The following is a 16,286-nucleotide window of genomic DNA, read 5'->3' as shown; positions in this document are numbered from 1 at the left end:
CTAGGGGGCTCAACATTTTTGGAAGACATAGTCTCTCTCAGAGACACTTCCTGGCTTCCTGTGGGGATACTGGCTCTGGGGTAAAGACCCTGGGGCAGAGTGAATAGGAGCATGGTATGAGTCTTTTCCGCAGAGGCTGGAACATAAAATCCAGTGTTTCAGATGTGTCTCCTGCATGAGCCTTCCCTCCATCCTCCCTATCCCCACCCACATTCAGACCTTTTATTACCTCTTGTGCAAACGATTGCCTTGGTCTTGTCCACAAATGCTGCAGTGTTTTCTTTTCCAAAGTTTATCTCTGACCTTATGATCTCTCTCCTATTGTCTACCAGATGAATTGAGAACTTTTCTAACTGGTGATTAATGCCAGTCAAACTCCCCAGCCAAATCTCCCCTGCATACAACCTATGTGTAGGTCAAACCACAATAACAAGATATGCTGATTCCCAGACATGCCCCTGTCTTTATTCACATGGGTCCTTCCATGGGGAATGCCCTGTTTTGCCAATTCAATGGGCTGAAAATCCAAACTATCCTTAAAAATCCATCTCTGAGCCACTGACTTGATGAACTCTTCATCTTCCTTTTGACATTTATTTTACTCTGACTTGTTTTGGAGAAGATATATACATATATTTAATATATATATTATATATTATATAATATATATTAAATATATGTATATATTTAATAATTCTCATTTACCACATGCTGTTTCCTATGCCAAATTAAAGAGTCATGGAAGACAGGAATAAAGTATCTTACAAATAAGTGTAGAGGTCAAAGAAGAGACTATGAAAATTGCTAGCCTGAGGATTAGCACATTGTAACCACTCCAGAAATGTCACCAAGGTTTGCAGCAATGATTCTAGGGTCAGATAGAACTAGATTTGAACCCTGACTCCACCATTGGCTAGCTTGGTGACTCTGAGAATTATTTAATCTCATGGAGCCTCAGTTTTCTCTTCTGTAAAAAAAGTTACCTAGCTTTCTTTCTTCCTCAAGGTGGTGTCAGAATAAATTTGATAGTCGATCAAATTATATCACAGACATAAACATACTTTGTCCCGTGCATAGCTCTTAGCAATCTCTTAATAAACTTGTGCTATCATTATGGGGCCTAGAACAGTGCTTTGTCTGACAAAGAAAAAAACATAGGAAAGGCTTGTTAAAATAAATTTCGAGTGGAGGCTTCATGCCTCAGATGCAACTACCTCCCACAATATGTGAATCTGGATTCTAGTCAGGGGTCTCAATTCTCCTGCCCATTCTCTTCTTTAAGGGGAGCATCTGCTATTCCAGCCTTTGCTCTCTGTGACTTTGCCCTGGCTAGATCCCTACTGGTGCACCCTGCTGGGGCTGAGAGTTAGCCAATTGTAAGACACCATGCTGAAAGCCCCTCCACTGATGTGCCCCCTGTGGATTTCTGTGGAGTGTGAGATAGGAGAGTATTCCATTTTTCTGACTCCTCTGAGTTTCCACCATTTCTAAGACAACACTAGAGGAGCTATGCTTAGGTACTCTGCATGTGAGGATGTTTGTGCACGTAGCTATATTAAATTGATTAGGGCTGAAATGAAAGTCTGGACAACAGTGCTAATACTAATAAGGGCAAGAAAAGGCCGTTTCCATTGTCATTCTGACAGGATCTATGTAATGCAAGACAACCAGGAGGACTCCAGAAAGTGCCCTGTCCAGCTGTTTTGTAGGCTGGCCCTGATTTCTGTTCCTCATACACTGAATGCACATTGCCTGTGGATATTAACCAGCCATCCAATTGATGGTCTCAGTTTTCATCTCTGTCATGGGGCGAGAGCAAGCAATGCATTGCAGGAAGCCGATCAATTATTTTCAAGCGGGATATGCGATACCATCTCCAGCACTCCAACCACAGCTGAAATCCAATTCCCTCAGCTGGCTTGGATTTGGAGGGGAAATGAAAGTCACATTTTGGAAAAGTGGGATTGATTCTGCGTGTTACAACTGATGCTTATGCAAAAAACCAGCTGTGGAGACGTCCTCCCATGATCAATCTCCAATTATCAGTTTCAAGGAGTGACAGTTGAACCACACTGGTCTAGTACATTTTCAGTAATTTTAAGTAAATTTTGATGACTTGCATAGGGCCTCAGTTTTCTTATCTGGTAATAGATATAATCACGTACCTGTGGTACTGTTTAAAGATTAGATTAGATAGTAGATGCAGAAGCAAATTACCATGAAGCTACTGATGCTTAAGCCCCTCATTTGCATGTGTCCCTTTCAAGACCTTGTGCCTAACTTTATACTCATAATGTTCTATCCTTTTTCTTAAAGAGGGTCCAGAATCATCTAAGCTTCAAACCCCACAAGCCTGGGTCTGTTCCGAGGTGGGTGCTCAGATGGCAGGAAACAGCTGACACATCAGCAGGCCGGGAGATGTGGAAGGAAGGTGGGAATGTCTCTAGAGATTGGAAACTTTATTAAGCATTTTCTAATTGCCAGAGCACTTGTCCTTCAACTAATTGCCAGGGCTTCAGAGGGATCTGAGCAGAATATCCTCCAAATATGTGAGTTGATCATGGCATAAGCTGTTAACTCACTAGTGGGACCTGTGTCACGACTGAAAACAATTCATAAGGGTATTTACCACTCATGGTGGGATTTCAGTCTCGGCAACTAGTGCATGGGGGATATGATCTTGGGCAAGCACATATCAAATCACATCAGGGTAGCAGCCTGCCTGGACGGCCTCAGCTCTAGTTTTACAGAGTCTTTGTGAGACCTGGAAGAGACCCAGTGTGGCCTGTAGTAAGGGATGCAGTGCACTTCAACCGACAGGCTCCGCTCAGACAGTTTCTTCAGGCAGACACATGGGGTATCATTTTCAGCTCCTACCTCTTCCCTTCTTTCCGCTTCTTTCCTTCTCCCTCCTCTCATCCTTCTTAGCCTCCTGCTTTCTTCCTCTACTTTCTCTCTTCCATTTCGTGAATCATAATACAAATTTCAATCCAAGATAAAAATGTACTTTATTTCAGCCTTTTGGATGTGATTAAGTTCTGTCCACAGTGAGGACATTGCTGTTTCCATGGTAACCAGTATACTCTAAAGCCAAGGAGGATGACAGTGTAGAAAAGTATAAAGAAGCCAAAGAGGTTTGCTACGGTTGCTTTTCATCCACCACAGAGGAAACAGAATTATGGAATCCAGGAGCTGGAGAGGAATTTACGAGGTCACTAAATCATATGCCCACCTTCATTAGAGCTGTAGTGAAACAACTGTGGAGATAAGCAAATGTCCTTCATTTAAAGCCACCCAGAACAGACTTCACGATCTTTTTTGAAAAGGTATTCAACTGTTATTTTTTTAAAGGCAATTATTCAGCATCTGATTCAAGCAATTCCTGTGTGCCTGAGACCGCTCCTCTGGCCCAGTCAGAACCCCCAGGAGAGGATGCACATAATGCTAACGAGAGCTCTGGCTCTCCCAGGGCAAAGGCCTAGCCTCCTTCACCTTCTTATCCCCAAAAGCTATTGTGCTCAGGCTTTGCTGTCTTTATTCTACTAAGCATGCTGTTGAAGTACCCAGGATCCACAAAAATAAAAGAAAAAAAAAGTATCTTTTTAAAAAATGTTCTCTAAGAAGAGCATTTATAATTCCAGGCCCCCTATTATTATAAACAACATTTATACTTGTTTTAAGCATATAAAATATTATAGAGGTACTGTTGGGAGTGAATATTAATGCTGTGGCTTTAATAGGAAGACAGAATGAGTCTCTGGTAGTTGACAATGGATGTGGGAATCAAGGGAGAGTTCAAGATGTCATCCCTGTGGCCTGATAGCACTTAGTACATCTCGGAGCCCTTGATGCTTGTTCACAAGAAAAGAAGAGGAGCTGGTGGTCAGGACACACTTAGGGTAATCATTCAGATGATAAGGAAAAGGGAAAAGCATTCTGTTTCTAAACTGTGCAGAGACCTTCCCGTATACAGCTACTGAGCTGTGAGCACAGGATGCTAAGGGGAAAGTTATTGTCAGGAAAGATCCTGTTCTGGTTGTTAGTATTTTTCCCAACCTTAAAACTTCAGCTTATGATGGACTTTATTTTATTTTATTTTTTGAGATAGGATCTTGCTCTGTTGCCCAAGCTAGAGTGCAGTGGTGCGATCTCAGCTCACTGCAGCCTCTGCCTCCTAGGCTCGAAGTTAGCCTCTCACCTCAGCCTACCGAATAGATGGAACTGCAGGTGTGCTACTATGCCTGGTTAATATTTGTATTTTTTGTACATACAGGGTCTCACTATGTTGCCCAGGCTGGTCTTGAACTCCTAGGCTCAAGCAATCCCCCTTCCTTGACCTCCCGAAGTACTGGGATTACAGGTATGAGCCTCTGTGCCCAGCCATAATGGACTTTAGGGCTTTGGTTCTCCTGGGCCAAGACTGTACCCAGCAGCACCAAGGCAGCTGAGCATGTTTGTGGCCTCAGAGTTGTCCTGCCTTAGTTCGACTCCTGGCTTGCCACTTGCTAGCTGGGTTGTCTTGGGCAGTGGAAGCACCCTGAGCTTCAATTTCTTTTATTCAAAATGTGGTGATGCTATCTACCTCGAATCTGAGATGAGTGGAGTAAAAGCATGTAAGCCATGAAGAGTGTGGCCTGACACATAGCAAATAGAAACTGCTTGATAAATAGTAGCCACTTTGCTCTCCTTATAAAGGTCCCTGAGGAAGCAGACTCAGCTTCCTTGCTTATAGCTTCTGTTGCTTAAACTAGGGGCAAGGCCCCTTTCATAAACACCCTTCTCATACATACATGCCTCTTGTTCTTGCTCTTTCGATTTCTAGAGATGGCAAACTACCAGCAAGGCACCAACAAAGCCTGGGCAAGTTCAACGTGAGTCTCCAGTGGTGGGGATGTGTTTCATTATCCTCCTGGTGCCCTCTGATAAGGCTTAGACTGTTTCGTGCTCCTTTTCTTTTCTTGATCAAGACAGAAGACAGCGGACAGTTGGGATGGAAAGAAAACTGGGACAGATACTGCCTGTGCTGCCTCTTCCCCTTTCTTCCTGCCTTGAATGTTGGCATGATGTCCAGAGCAGAAACCCGGATAGTGTTGTGACTCTCAACCAATGTCAGCAGCCTGTAGTTCCAGAATCTTTACTGGAGAGGAAAAACTCCACTATTAGTTGAGTTTTCTTGCAGCCCAAACATTTGTAACAGAGAAGCCGTCCTGACTCTTGCCTTTATCTTGAGTGATTACTATCTACACATGGATTTTCCAATCATTAACCTGCCTTTTTCTTACCGAGGGCTGCAACCTTAGATTCTCAATCCCCTCTGGACTGTGTACCAATACATCCTCCTAACTTTCCCCTGCCCTCAATCTCTCCCCAAATTATAATCTGTACTTCTTAGAGACTTACATTTCTAAAACAAAATAAGATCATGTGCCTCGTAACATAATACCATCAGTGCTTCTCCACCGTCCACAGTCTAAAGCCCAGATTCCTGAGCAGAGCACATTAAGCCTTCTGTAATCTTGGTCCTTCCCTCCTCTCCAGCCTCCTCCTTTGCTGAGCCCCTCCCTACACCCCAGCCACACAGAACCTACTTACAGTTTCCCTGGTGTGTCATATGCTTTGCATCCGGTCCATCTGCTCACCTCCGCCCAGCAGCTCGATTGCCCGTTCCCTCCCTCCCATCCCATCTGGCCCGGTGAATCCCCAAGTCGTCTTTCAAAGCTTAGTTTAAAGAGACTTCTATGAAGCTCCTCAAGCCTTTCTCTCTGTAGGACCCCCGATCCTCTTGCTAAGACTTCGTCTACACTCTGCATATGTCTGCTGATAGCGCCTATTCATTGGTGCCCTGTTTATTGACATCTTCCTACTATAGTGTGAGCTATTGGAGGGTGCAGACCAAGTCTTATTCATCTTTGTAAGCCCTGTGCCAATTACATTGCTTGGTACATAGCAAGAACTGAACTGAATAAATGTCTTTGCTGAATGAAATATTAAATAATTTTAAAATCCCCAAAGCCCAAATCCAGTCCATATAATGAGATGCAAGCATCAAATCCTGTGAGGATGGTAGCAGGTCTATTCTCTGGGGACAGAAGAAAGGAGAATGGGGAACCTGCTGTCCTAGAAGGGCAGGCGCTTTATCACCATCTTCAAGGGACCCTAAGGAGTGTCCTGAGAATCAGAATATTGAGCAAAATCTTGGAGATTAAAGTCAAACATATTCCCCCAGCTGCATAAGTCAGAGACAGGGCTGCTCTAAGACTATGTGGGCAATCCAGGTAAATATTTTTTGTGAGACCCTTGTCTATATAAACATTTTGATTATAATAATATATTATGAAGCTCACAGGTGCATGTGAGCTATCATAATTTAGTGAGGAGAATTTTGAATAGTGGATAGAGAAGAGGTACTTACATATTTCTTCACAGTCCAATGAGTGCACATGAAGATTCTTCATGGCGTCCTGACACTACATTTCCCATTTAAGTCCACAAGCCATCTTGTTATTTTCTTTCTTGTCAAATGTGCTGGTCTTGGCTAATTTTTTTTTACATCGCTCTCCACAAGTAAAAGGTAGCAATGTTGTTATTACTCACAAAGAAGCAATTTGCGTTGAAACGATACATATCTTTTGCCTCTGCAGTTCTTCAACTCCAATTATTTAGTGTCGGTCACAGTGGTACTTATGACATGCACCATGCAACCCGCAGCCCATGAATACTTGCTCCAGTGGCTCTCTCAAAGGTTGTTACTGTGCTTTGTTGATGGTGATCAAAAATCAAATGTATACAATAATTTTGTAAATGATGTAAAATTTTCCTTTTGGAATTTTATAGCACAGGCATAAGACAATATTTCTCTTTACACCACAATCAGTGAATTTCTAGACTGTGGTCTGTCTCAATATTGCCTGCAGGCCTGTACACCAGCACCACAGGGGCAGAGAGGCAGAGGGCCTCTAGGCTGAGCAGGCAAAGCAATCCTAGTCCTTGGAGAGATGTTAGTCCCTCATTAGGACTGGTCCTAACAAGGAGTAAGAGTAAGATGATATCATATTGATTGGAAGCAAGAGAGCTCATCAATTGGAAGGGGCTGTTGGAGTTATGAAGCAACAGTCTCAAAAGCTCTTGGAGCACAAGAGCAGTCACCCTTTGGGACCAGCCCAAAAGATGGCATGGAGCCTGTAAAGAGGGTAGGGAGATTGTGTGGGACATACAGGGTGAAGGATGTTTGCACCACCTTCCCATGCTTGGATACTGTAGACCTGGTACCATAATCAGAACACAAATGGGTGAGAGCCAACAAAGGCCAACAAATGCAATTCAAGCTCCAGGGTGGGACGATCCAGAGCTCAGAGCCCTGACCTTATCTTATGTCCAGCATCAGTGAGAGTCACCCCAAATCCTTATATCAGCACCATTCTGGTGGCCCAATCTTGCATGATCCTATGAAGGAAAAAGCTTACAGATTAGTGACTCTCGTCTGCTAGCCAGATGGCCATTCAAGACCCTACTGGCCATGGGCTGGGACAAATCCATAGACAAGAATCATGAAACTCCTCAGGGCATCTGCTTGATCCCACCACTATGGGGAAAAATGGAGATGGGGGCCACAGGGTTCCATTTGGCCTCATGGTTCTCCATTCAGGTGGTACTACCCATCCCAGCCAGTTTCATGCACCTGTGTAGGACCTCCTTGGAGGAAGGTGCATGAAAGTACATGGTGCTCTGAGGCTTGGGGCGGAGTATGCTACTTTCCTGGGTCAAAGTATGACACTGGCCAGTGGCACGGCAGCTCCAACAATCCTAAGGAAGAATGAGACAGACCCTTGTCCCCTTCACAGAAATGTAGTTAGAGCTTCTGTGCATAAATTTCTAGGGTCTTACCTAGAAAAGATAGAAGGGGACAAGGTATGTTCCTCTGTAACTCCCATTAGGGAGAATAATGGGTTTTAGAGAAACTAAATCCACTACTCAGGGCAGTAGTACTAAACATAACAGACTGGATGGAACCCCCCTGCCACAAAGACACCCAATAAGCCCCATCACAAAACCCTATAGTTTTAAGAAAAGAGATGTGATTTCTTTCAAAGGCTTGAGTTTTGGTTTCTCTACTAAGTCACATTGGAAATCAGTGAGCAATGAACTAAGCATTCAATAGAGCTTAGGGAAATGCAAGAGACATATAAAGAAAAATCAGTGAGACAACAGTCAGGGGACACAAAGACTCCATTCTGGGTTGGACCTTCTGAGAGAGCAGCAGGCCACTTTCCCAGTGATCCAACACTGCTCTGGGAGATGGATTGAGCAGTAATGGTGGACCAGACCCATGAACACCTGTCTGGAGTCCTATCTTCAGGGGAATGTTCTCAATCTACTGGGTTATAGTTGTCCAAATCTGATCCCACCTATTTCTGTAGAGTAGATGCAAAACATTGCATGCCTCCAGACACAGGATTTGCCTTCCAGATAACATTTCAATGATAAATGGAAACCATTTAGACAGAGTGATAAATGACAGTCAAAATCAAGCAGCACCCTCTGGACTTACCATTTTGATTACAGTGATTCTGTGCTAACATTTGGGCTCCATTCTTGAAACAGATATGGATGGCAAGCTGGAGGGTTTGTAATATCTCCTAGAAAATAGATAAATTTGTAGAAAAAAAAGAAAAGACTGATGCTAAATATTTTTAAAGCACTGAAAAAAAAAAAAGTCCTGAAACACTGATTTGATGATATTTAAAACTTTTTCCAGGAAAGTGTCCTTATCTTGGCTCTTCTTCAGTTGTTCAGGAAGCATTGGTATAAAAACATGTCTCCTGATAGATAGTTTGCCACAAGATTTATTCCCAAAAGACTATCCTTTTTTAACGTTCTTTAGCCTGCCTCTATTGACTTAAAATGTAATGTGTTTGAACTTGCTTTAGCTTTGTTTCCTTTTTAAAAGACTCAGCAAATTGCCCTTGTCACCTCACCAGCTGGCTTTTTCTTCTTCTTCTTCTTCTTTTTTTTTTTTTTTTTTTTTTGAGACAGAGTCTCGCTCTGTCGCCCAGGCTGGAGTGCGGTGGCGTGATCTCGGCTCACTGCAAGCTCCGCCTCCTGGATTCACGCCATTCTCCTGCCTCAGCCTCCTGAGTAGCTGGGACTACAAGCGCCCACCACCACGCCCGGCTAATTTTTTAATTTTTTTGTATTTTTTAGTAGAGAAGGAGTTTCACCGTGTTAGCCAGGATGGTCTCGATCTCCTGAACTTGTGATCTGCCCGCCTCAGCCTCCCAAAGTGCTGGGATTACAGGCGTGAGCCAACGTGCCCGGCCCCAGCTGGCTTTTTCTAATGCTTTTGGAGGGTGGGGGGATAGAGGTGTTGCTCTTCCAGGTCCATGCAGTATTAAAAGAGTGGAACAAATACGATTTCCTCTTTGTGTACTAACTTAATCATTCCATAGACCTGTCTGCAAACTCTATGAGAGTTGTATGCTTTCATTTCCAGGATATTGAACTGAGCAAGCATAATATAAAAATGTGAAGCTTTAAAAATGTTAGTATAGAAATATGAAATGGAATTACCTAAAAACTGTGGTTAGTTAAAGATATATGCATCCTGACTGGTTCACTGCTAACATGTATAATGCCTTTGTGAGATGTAAGAAAAGGTTCCCTTCTTCCATTTGGAGACATATTCAGACTGGTGCAAAGCCCCCCTATCAGTTGCATCTTGGGCAACACAATTGTACATGGAGACCCTGATCCTGACAGTTGTCTCTGACCTCCCCTGTGCAGCTGGCTCCAGCCCTGCTTGGACTCTCTCTTTCTAAATGCTGCTGCTTGCCAACCTCACTGCAAATGCAGGGATGGTGTCTTAGTCTCCATTCTCTCTGTGGAACCTGACACAGAGGAGACACTCAACAAATAGTTGTTGGTTGAATGAACAAGTAAAAACTACTAATTGCAATTTTTAAAAAATTGAAAGAGAAGGGCTATGGAAGATATATTACTGGCTGTCCAGAACATTTTGCATCATGTCCAAATACCAGAAAACTTTTTTTATTCTTGGGATCAGTTACCGTACATGACAATTCACTGCTAAATATTGAAATGGTCAAACTTAGAAAAGGGCATATAGCAACCTTGATGGCAGTGGCAGATAGTTAAGTGTTCATTTCTAAGCATTTGGAGTGGGGAAGTCCAGAAATCAAGGAAACCAAGACAGGAAATCTGCTTTGCTGATTTTCTTCTTCTCATCTTATGAGTGGTTAGTATTATGCTTTGATAGAGGGTAATTTAGGCATGGCAGCAATCAGTTTCTGAGCACCATTACACTAACACTTTCACAGAAAAAAAGTTCTAGGAACTTGCTCTTTAAAATACTCAAAAGTCAGTTGAAGCCTACATGGATTTAAAGCAAGTCTAGTTGGTATCATCTTTTCCTTCCTTTTCTAATTCTGTCCCCAAAAGCGAGCATCCTGAGATGTTAAGAACAGAGAACTTGGAATGGGCACTGACAAATAGGCTGTAAACAGGAGCTGGTAGAGAGATAAATCAGATGGCCTAAAGATTCTTGCATTTCTTATTTCTATGACAACATCTAGTAGCCTGTTCCTATTTGTAAAAAAAGGCAGTTTTAGTTTTGTTGGAAGAGCAACAAATGCTGTCCATTTCAACCAGTGGGAGTCCAGCTTGAGTCTATTCTAGCAACACTCCGCCTCTGAGACCAGCTGAGGCCTTTACTGCCAACCCAGGACTGGAAGCAGCCCTGATGGCTGGCCACTTAAGCTAAAAACCTCACAGAATACTTCTCTATGAACAAAATGGCAATCCGGTTTAGATGGAGTAAAGTGCTATTAAACACTTAGAGCCATCAAAACCAAAACATGCAGTTCCTTCACAGATTGACCACAATTTCACTTTCTGAAACTAAAGATTCATGTTCATTCAACTCATGGATTCAACATGCAATGTGTTGAAATAGTGACTTTAGAAAAGCAATCGTGAAAGAACCAGATTTTTTTAAAAACGGTCAGCCTATTTCCCCTTGAGAGGCAGAAGGTGCATTTCTCTGCTTTAAACCGGACACATGTTAAACTAGGTTCCTGAAAGAATGAAATATCATTAACAAGATTTACCCAAGAGCTACCCAAATAGAAAAACGATGTGTGCAATGATCTGTTTCGCAGGAACGAGTCTGAATCAAACATCTGTTAGGCCTTCCTTGACTCCTTTTCCCCTCCCCAATGGTTAATGACATCTGAAGCGCTTAAGCTTTGCACATTCCTTCACTAATTAAATTCCCGCAAAGCTGTCTCATGAATCAGGTGCTTTGTGGAGCAGGAACACAGGCCCAGCTTTTGTGTCGCTGCTGCCTGCTGAAGTATAAGTAGGAGCTAAATGTACACTTGGCCTGCTCAGGAGTCTTTCAAAAGGTTTTTAAGAGTCTCGTTTTTCCCAGAGATCTTCCTTTGCATTTTACTACCTGTTCTGTCCAAACTAGATTGACAAAAATAAAGAAATGAGGAGTTAAGTTGCATGGATAAAGTTTCAAGCACCCAAGTCCTAATTTTTGCAAGGACAGGGATATTTTGACCCAAGTGGAAATCAAGGGAAAGGGAACTGCTTTCTCCCAAAAAGAAGTTCTTTTTTTATTCGTTAATTATTTCATTCTTCATTCTTTCATTCATTCATGAAATAAGGATGCATTGGGTGCTCCCTGCATGTTCCTCACTGTGCCAGGCCCTACCTATATTGAGACTCAGCCCCTGCTCAAAACCAGAGTGAACTGTGAGATCCTTCTATCACCAAGAGGTGATATGGTCATTGAGGCAGCAAAGGGGCTGTGGACAGAAGTTTCCAACTGATGGACAACTTGGTCTAGGATTACAATGTATAGAGACCCTGGGGTCTGGATCTGCCTCAACTGAGAGTGATTATTAAGTGTATCGTACGTATTGTAGAAATAATGCCAAAAGCCACCTCCAGTTAAATGCCTGTTATGCACCCAGCACAGTGCTAAGCACTTTACATGCCTACTCTGAATCTTCATAACAACTCTTCAAGATAGTGACATTCCCTCATTGTGCAGTTGAGGAAAATGATGCTTAGAGAGATTGAATATCCAAGGTCATAGGTTCGGGTCATTTTAAAACTCTTTCTGTTTTTTTTTTTTTTCTTTTTCTTTTTTTTCATCACCATGATTGAAGGTAGGGTCATGGACAACCACAGATACCACACAAAGCAAAGCTCTCTATGATGACTAGGCAATACAGGGTAAAAGAGTTCAGAGGAAGGAGAGCTTGTCCCAGCAGCCAAGGAAGTCTTCACAGTGGAGATTCGATAAGAGGGAATCAAAACAAATTCTTGATCAGGTAGACAGGAGCTGGAGGAGAACCATGAAATCATTTTAATTGGGGAATACTTGATACACAAGGACACAAAGGCATAAATGAACAGCAGCTGTTCAAACTTCCTCTGCTCTCCTCAAACCCCATCTCTTCCAGGCTCTCTCTTTCACAGGGAAAACAAACAATATCAACCTACAGATGCAGAAGCTTCTAAACATACACCTCTCCTGGCATCTCCTCCCTCCTCATCCTCTTTCCCTCCTATTACTGTGCAGGTAGTCTCTCTCTAGCTCATTAAGACAAATGCTCTCACCTGCGTCCTGGATCCAGTAAGTATGTGGCAGTCCTCAGGTGTGGCCACATATTAATTCCTAAAGACCTAGATGTAGTAGTAGAGGTAGTTTGCCTGCAAGAGAGTAGCTGCTCTATTTCCCAACCTCATTGCTAAGCAGAACCACCTTCAAGTCCTTGAGTACTGCATATGCCTTCATGCTCCTGGGGTTTTGCTAAAGCTTTTCCCTTCTGCCTTTTGTCCACCTTGTCAATTCTAACTAATCTCTCAAAACTTAGCTCAATGAGCACAATATAGGTTAGCATTAAGGAGGCCCAAAAGAATAATAGCTAAGGTATATGAGTTTATTTATTTATTTAGTTTTATGTAAAAGGAGTTGAGAGGCAATCTAGAACTGTATTATGGGCACCATGATCATTAGGAAGTCAGATTCCTTATGTTTTCCTGCTTTGCCATCCTTAGTCCTTGGATCCTATTCTCAAGCTCACCTATCATCCAACACGGCTGCTGGGGCTCCAGCTATCACACCCATATTCCAGGTAGGAAGGAAGAAGAAAGGAAAGGAAAAAGAAAGAGTTCTGTCTGTTTCTCCCTGTAAGGAGCCTTCATGGAAAACTCATCAAAATGCCCATTTACCTCTCACTAGTCAAAACGTAGTCATATGTTCATTAGGCTGAAAAATATAATCTCTCAGCTGAGCATATTGCCACACTGAATAAAAATTGCCATCATGTTAATAAGGACAAGAGTAAATATTAAATACACAACTAACAGTATTTGCCTAACTACCACCTCTTCTTATAAACCTTTCTGGGTCATTTTCATCTTTCAGTCCTTTCAGCGATTAGGCAAACTCCCTCTGTGTTTCTGTTGCATCCCAAGCATATATATTGCTCCACAGGAATACATACTGCATCATGTTGTCATCATCTGGTTTGCTTGCTTCTCTTCTCCGGTGGCTATAGGCTCTTTGATGCATGTGCCATCTTTATCATAGATGAATTTTCTAAAACAGGGTCTGGGGAATTGGTCCCTAAATAATTGGTCATATTGAATGCATCTCTGAGCATCTCCTGGGTCTGGGTTTTCCACTCGTCTCCCTTTTTTGGAACATTCATATTTTCAGAGAGAAAACACTAAAAATATTTGGAAAGTTATTCCAAAGTACTACAAGCTACCACTGTGCTTGGTGCCAGTTGTAGAGGAAGGAGCACATGGCTTTGAAACCAAACCAAAAATAGTATCGAAATGCTGATTTCAATTTCCACTCAAATGGGTCATCTCTTCAGTATCTGTTACTAGGGAACGGCCCAGAATGTGTTGGGTGGCAAGGACATTTTGACCAGGCTGACACAGTTTTAAAAGGCCAGATACATGAATTTGAACCAATCTTCTTTTAAAATGCACTTCTGATTTTGACAAATGCAGAGTATTGGGGGTGGGGGTAGGGAGGGAATGAGATGGCTGCTAAGAACAAGATGGAAACATGGTCACATAGCTCAATTGAAGTCACATTTTAATTATACTTATAAGTCTGGCTATGTCTTTTTGTGGGAACAGGAAATAAAGAGAGAACATTTTAAATGAAATATTGAAGGCCAGCATGTAAGAAAATCATAATAATGTGACATAAAACCTTTAAGAATTGAGGCATAAGATGCCATCTAATACCACAGCATCGTTGGTGACTTCTTCCCCTTCCTTGTTCTTTATGTCCTTTCTCTCAAGTCTTTTTCTTTCTTAATTAACCATTTTCACTGTCGTCAAGCTCACTCAAGTCCTTAAAACTTTAATTTGGATACAGCAATAACCTCCTACATAATCTGCCACCTTCATCTTTTTCACCCTTCACCTTCACCCCTGTCTATCCTTCCCATCTACCCCGTAATTTCCAGTGTCTCGTATCAATCTTTAGCTCCTTATCCCTCTCTGAATGTAAGTTTCCTCAATTCAGCTGCATTTTATGTTACATCTTACACTTCTTTGCATTGCCCCTGGGCCTAGTCCAGACCTCTGCTCACCATATGGGCTATTTGCGTACTGGCTGACTCAGGGCTGATGTATCCATCAGGCACAGCAGACACAGATTTATAGCCCACAACATTTCTAGGGGCCCATGAAAATGGTTTTATTTTCATTTCTTTGAAAATCAGGAGAAACTATTGAATTGAATAATAGTGAATATATAAGAATAAAACCACCCTGGATTATATTCATCTCTATACCAATGCAGTCATAGAATATAATTTTTAATATTTTTTAAATGAAGAATGGGATCCATCAAAGTAAAGGTGCCTAAGGCCCCCAAAAGTCATGTTGCTACCCTAGACTAACTTTTCAAAACCTAAGTCAATAAAAGTAAAAGTATGTGCAAAAAAAAAATGATTTTTTGGTACTTATTTTTAATGTGTATTTTCCTTGAAAACTCTCCATTTCTCAGCTTTTCATACTGGCCTAGTGCTGATCACTAGTCCGGAAAGTGCGAAGGCTTCTTCCTGGATTTGATAAATCGATGTAAATGGAATGTGACATGTTACTGTGTTATTTCGTTCACACAATTGCCTCTTTGATGGCTCAGTAAAAGGTGGAGGAGAGAAACTTCTCATGATATCTGTAAAATATACACCACGTTCAGTCTGTTATGTTAAAACACATAAAGTTCCCTTTCCAGTTTCTCAAACTAATTTCTGTGTGTCCCAGCCAAATGGAATGTGTTTTAGTCAGCTCTTGGGTAAACACAGAAATGTAATCTTTCCCCTCTTAAAGCAGAGCCTGCTTCACACACTGCATCTGTGTGTGCAATGTTTATTTAAGCATACAAGGATTAGGACTTAAAACTGGTTTGAAAGCACTGGTGAGTGTTTTTCTTAAGATATCTAAGTCTAATTATTTGAGAATTTATAATATTTTACATCTGCACAGATAATTTTTCCTTCCAGATAATTTATATTAACTTGGGTTTGAAATGAAGGAAATAATAATTGTGCTTTCTTCTCTTTCTCTATCTATCTCTTTTAGGTTGGGCACAAAATGTTCTCTAAAGAGCTGACATTATCTTGCAATTAGGATTTTCATTTCTTTTTACCTAAACATAATTATCATTAACCCAAATAAAATTCAGGAGATGAGTTGACCTTTTTCTTTGCACTACAAATTATAATCAATGCCATCAATTGCTGTTTTATTCCATTAGCTAATTTGTTTTTCTGTTAGAATGTCACATGCCCCTTTCCAACATTATAGCCAATTTATGTAATTTTAAGCTATTTATGCAGTTACCTAAGTGGTCAGTTTTCTATCTTCACAAACTCTCTGTGATTTACTTTTCAATCCTTTAAGTTTTCCTTCCCATGATCCTAGAATTACAGCGTGAGAATGATTTTGAAGTGTCACCTGGCCTAGTCCTATGCTTCTAGGTGGTAAATGCCCCACAAATACTGATCTGGAATGAAGGGATGACCCTTCTCTTTCTCAAGGTCGGCGGTCCCAATTGGGTTTCTTGGTTTAACTGCCCAGATCATCAGGAACTTCTCCCTTATGCTCAGTCAAGAATCTCTTCTGCCCTCCATGGATTTCCTTTCATTTTGTTCTCCACAGACATGGAGAATAACTCCTCAGTATCTTCCTGAAACAAACTTCTTGAGTTGGAAGGTCCAAGT

The 16,286-nt window shown here is 41.7% G+C and overlaps 2 long non-coding RNA genes across 3 annotated transcripts in view; both read left to right on the top strand.

Annotated features, from left to right (window-relative positions):
* The window catches only part of LOC124906112 (uncharacterized), a 204,201-nt gene that overhangs the window by 82,103 nt on the left and 105,812 nt on the right, over nucleotides 1-16,286 (top strand). The gene's annotated exons all lie outside the window — the stretch shown is intronic.
* On the top strand, nucleotides 2,319-5,362 carry LOC105373833 (uncharacterized). The gene is made up of 3 exons (XR_923777.3): nucleotides 2,319-2,431; nucleotides 3,018-3,326; nucleotides 4,823-5,362. It is a non-coding gene; the product is annotated as an uncharacterized LOC105373833 (long non-coding RNA).

This window comes from Homo sapiens, chromosome 2 (assembly GCF_000001405.40).
Source record: "Homo sapiens chromosome 2, GRCh38.p14 Primary Assembly".
NCBI classification, from domain to species: domain Eukaryota; kingdom Metazoa; phylum Chordata; class Mammalia; order Primates; family Hominidae; genus Homo; species Homo sapiens.
This window is presented reverse-complemented; position numbering and strand designations above follow the sequence as displayed.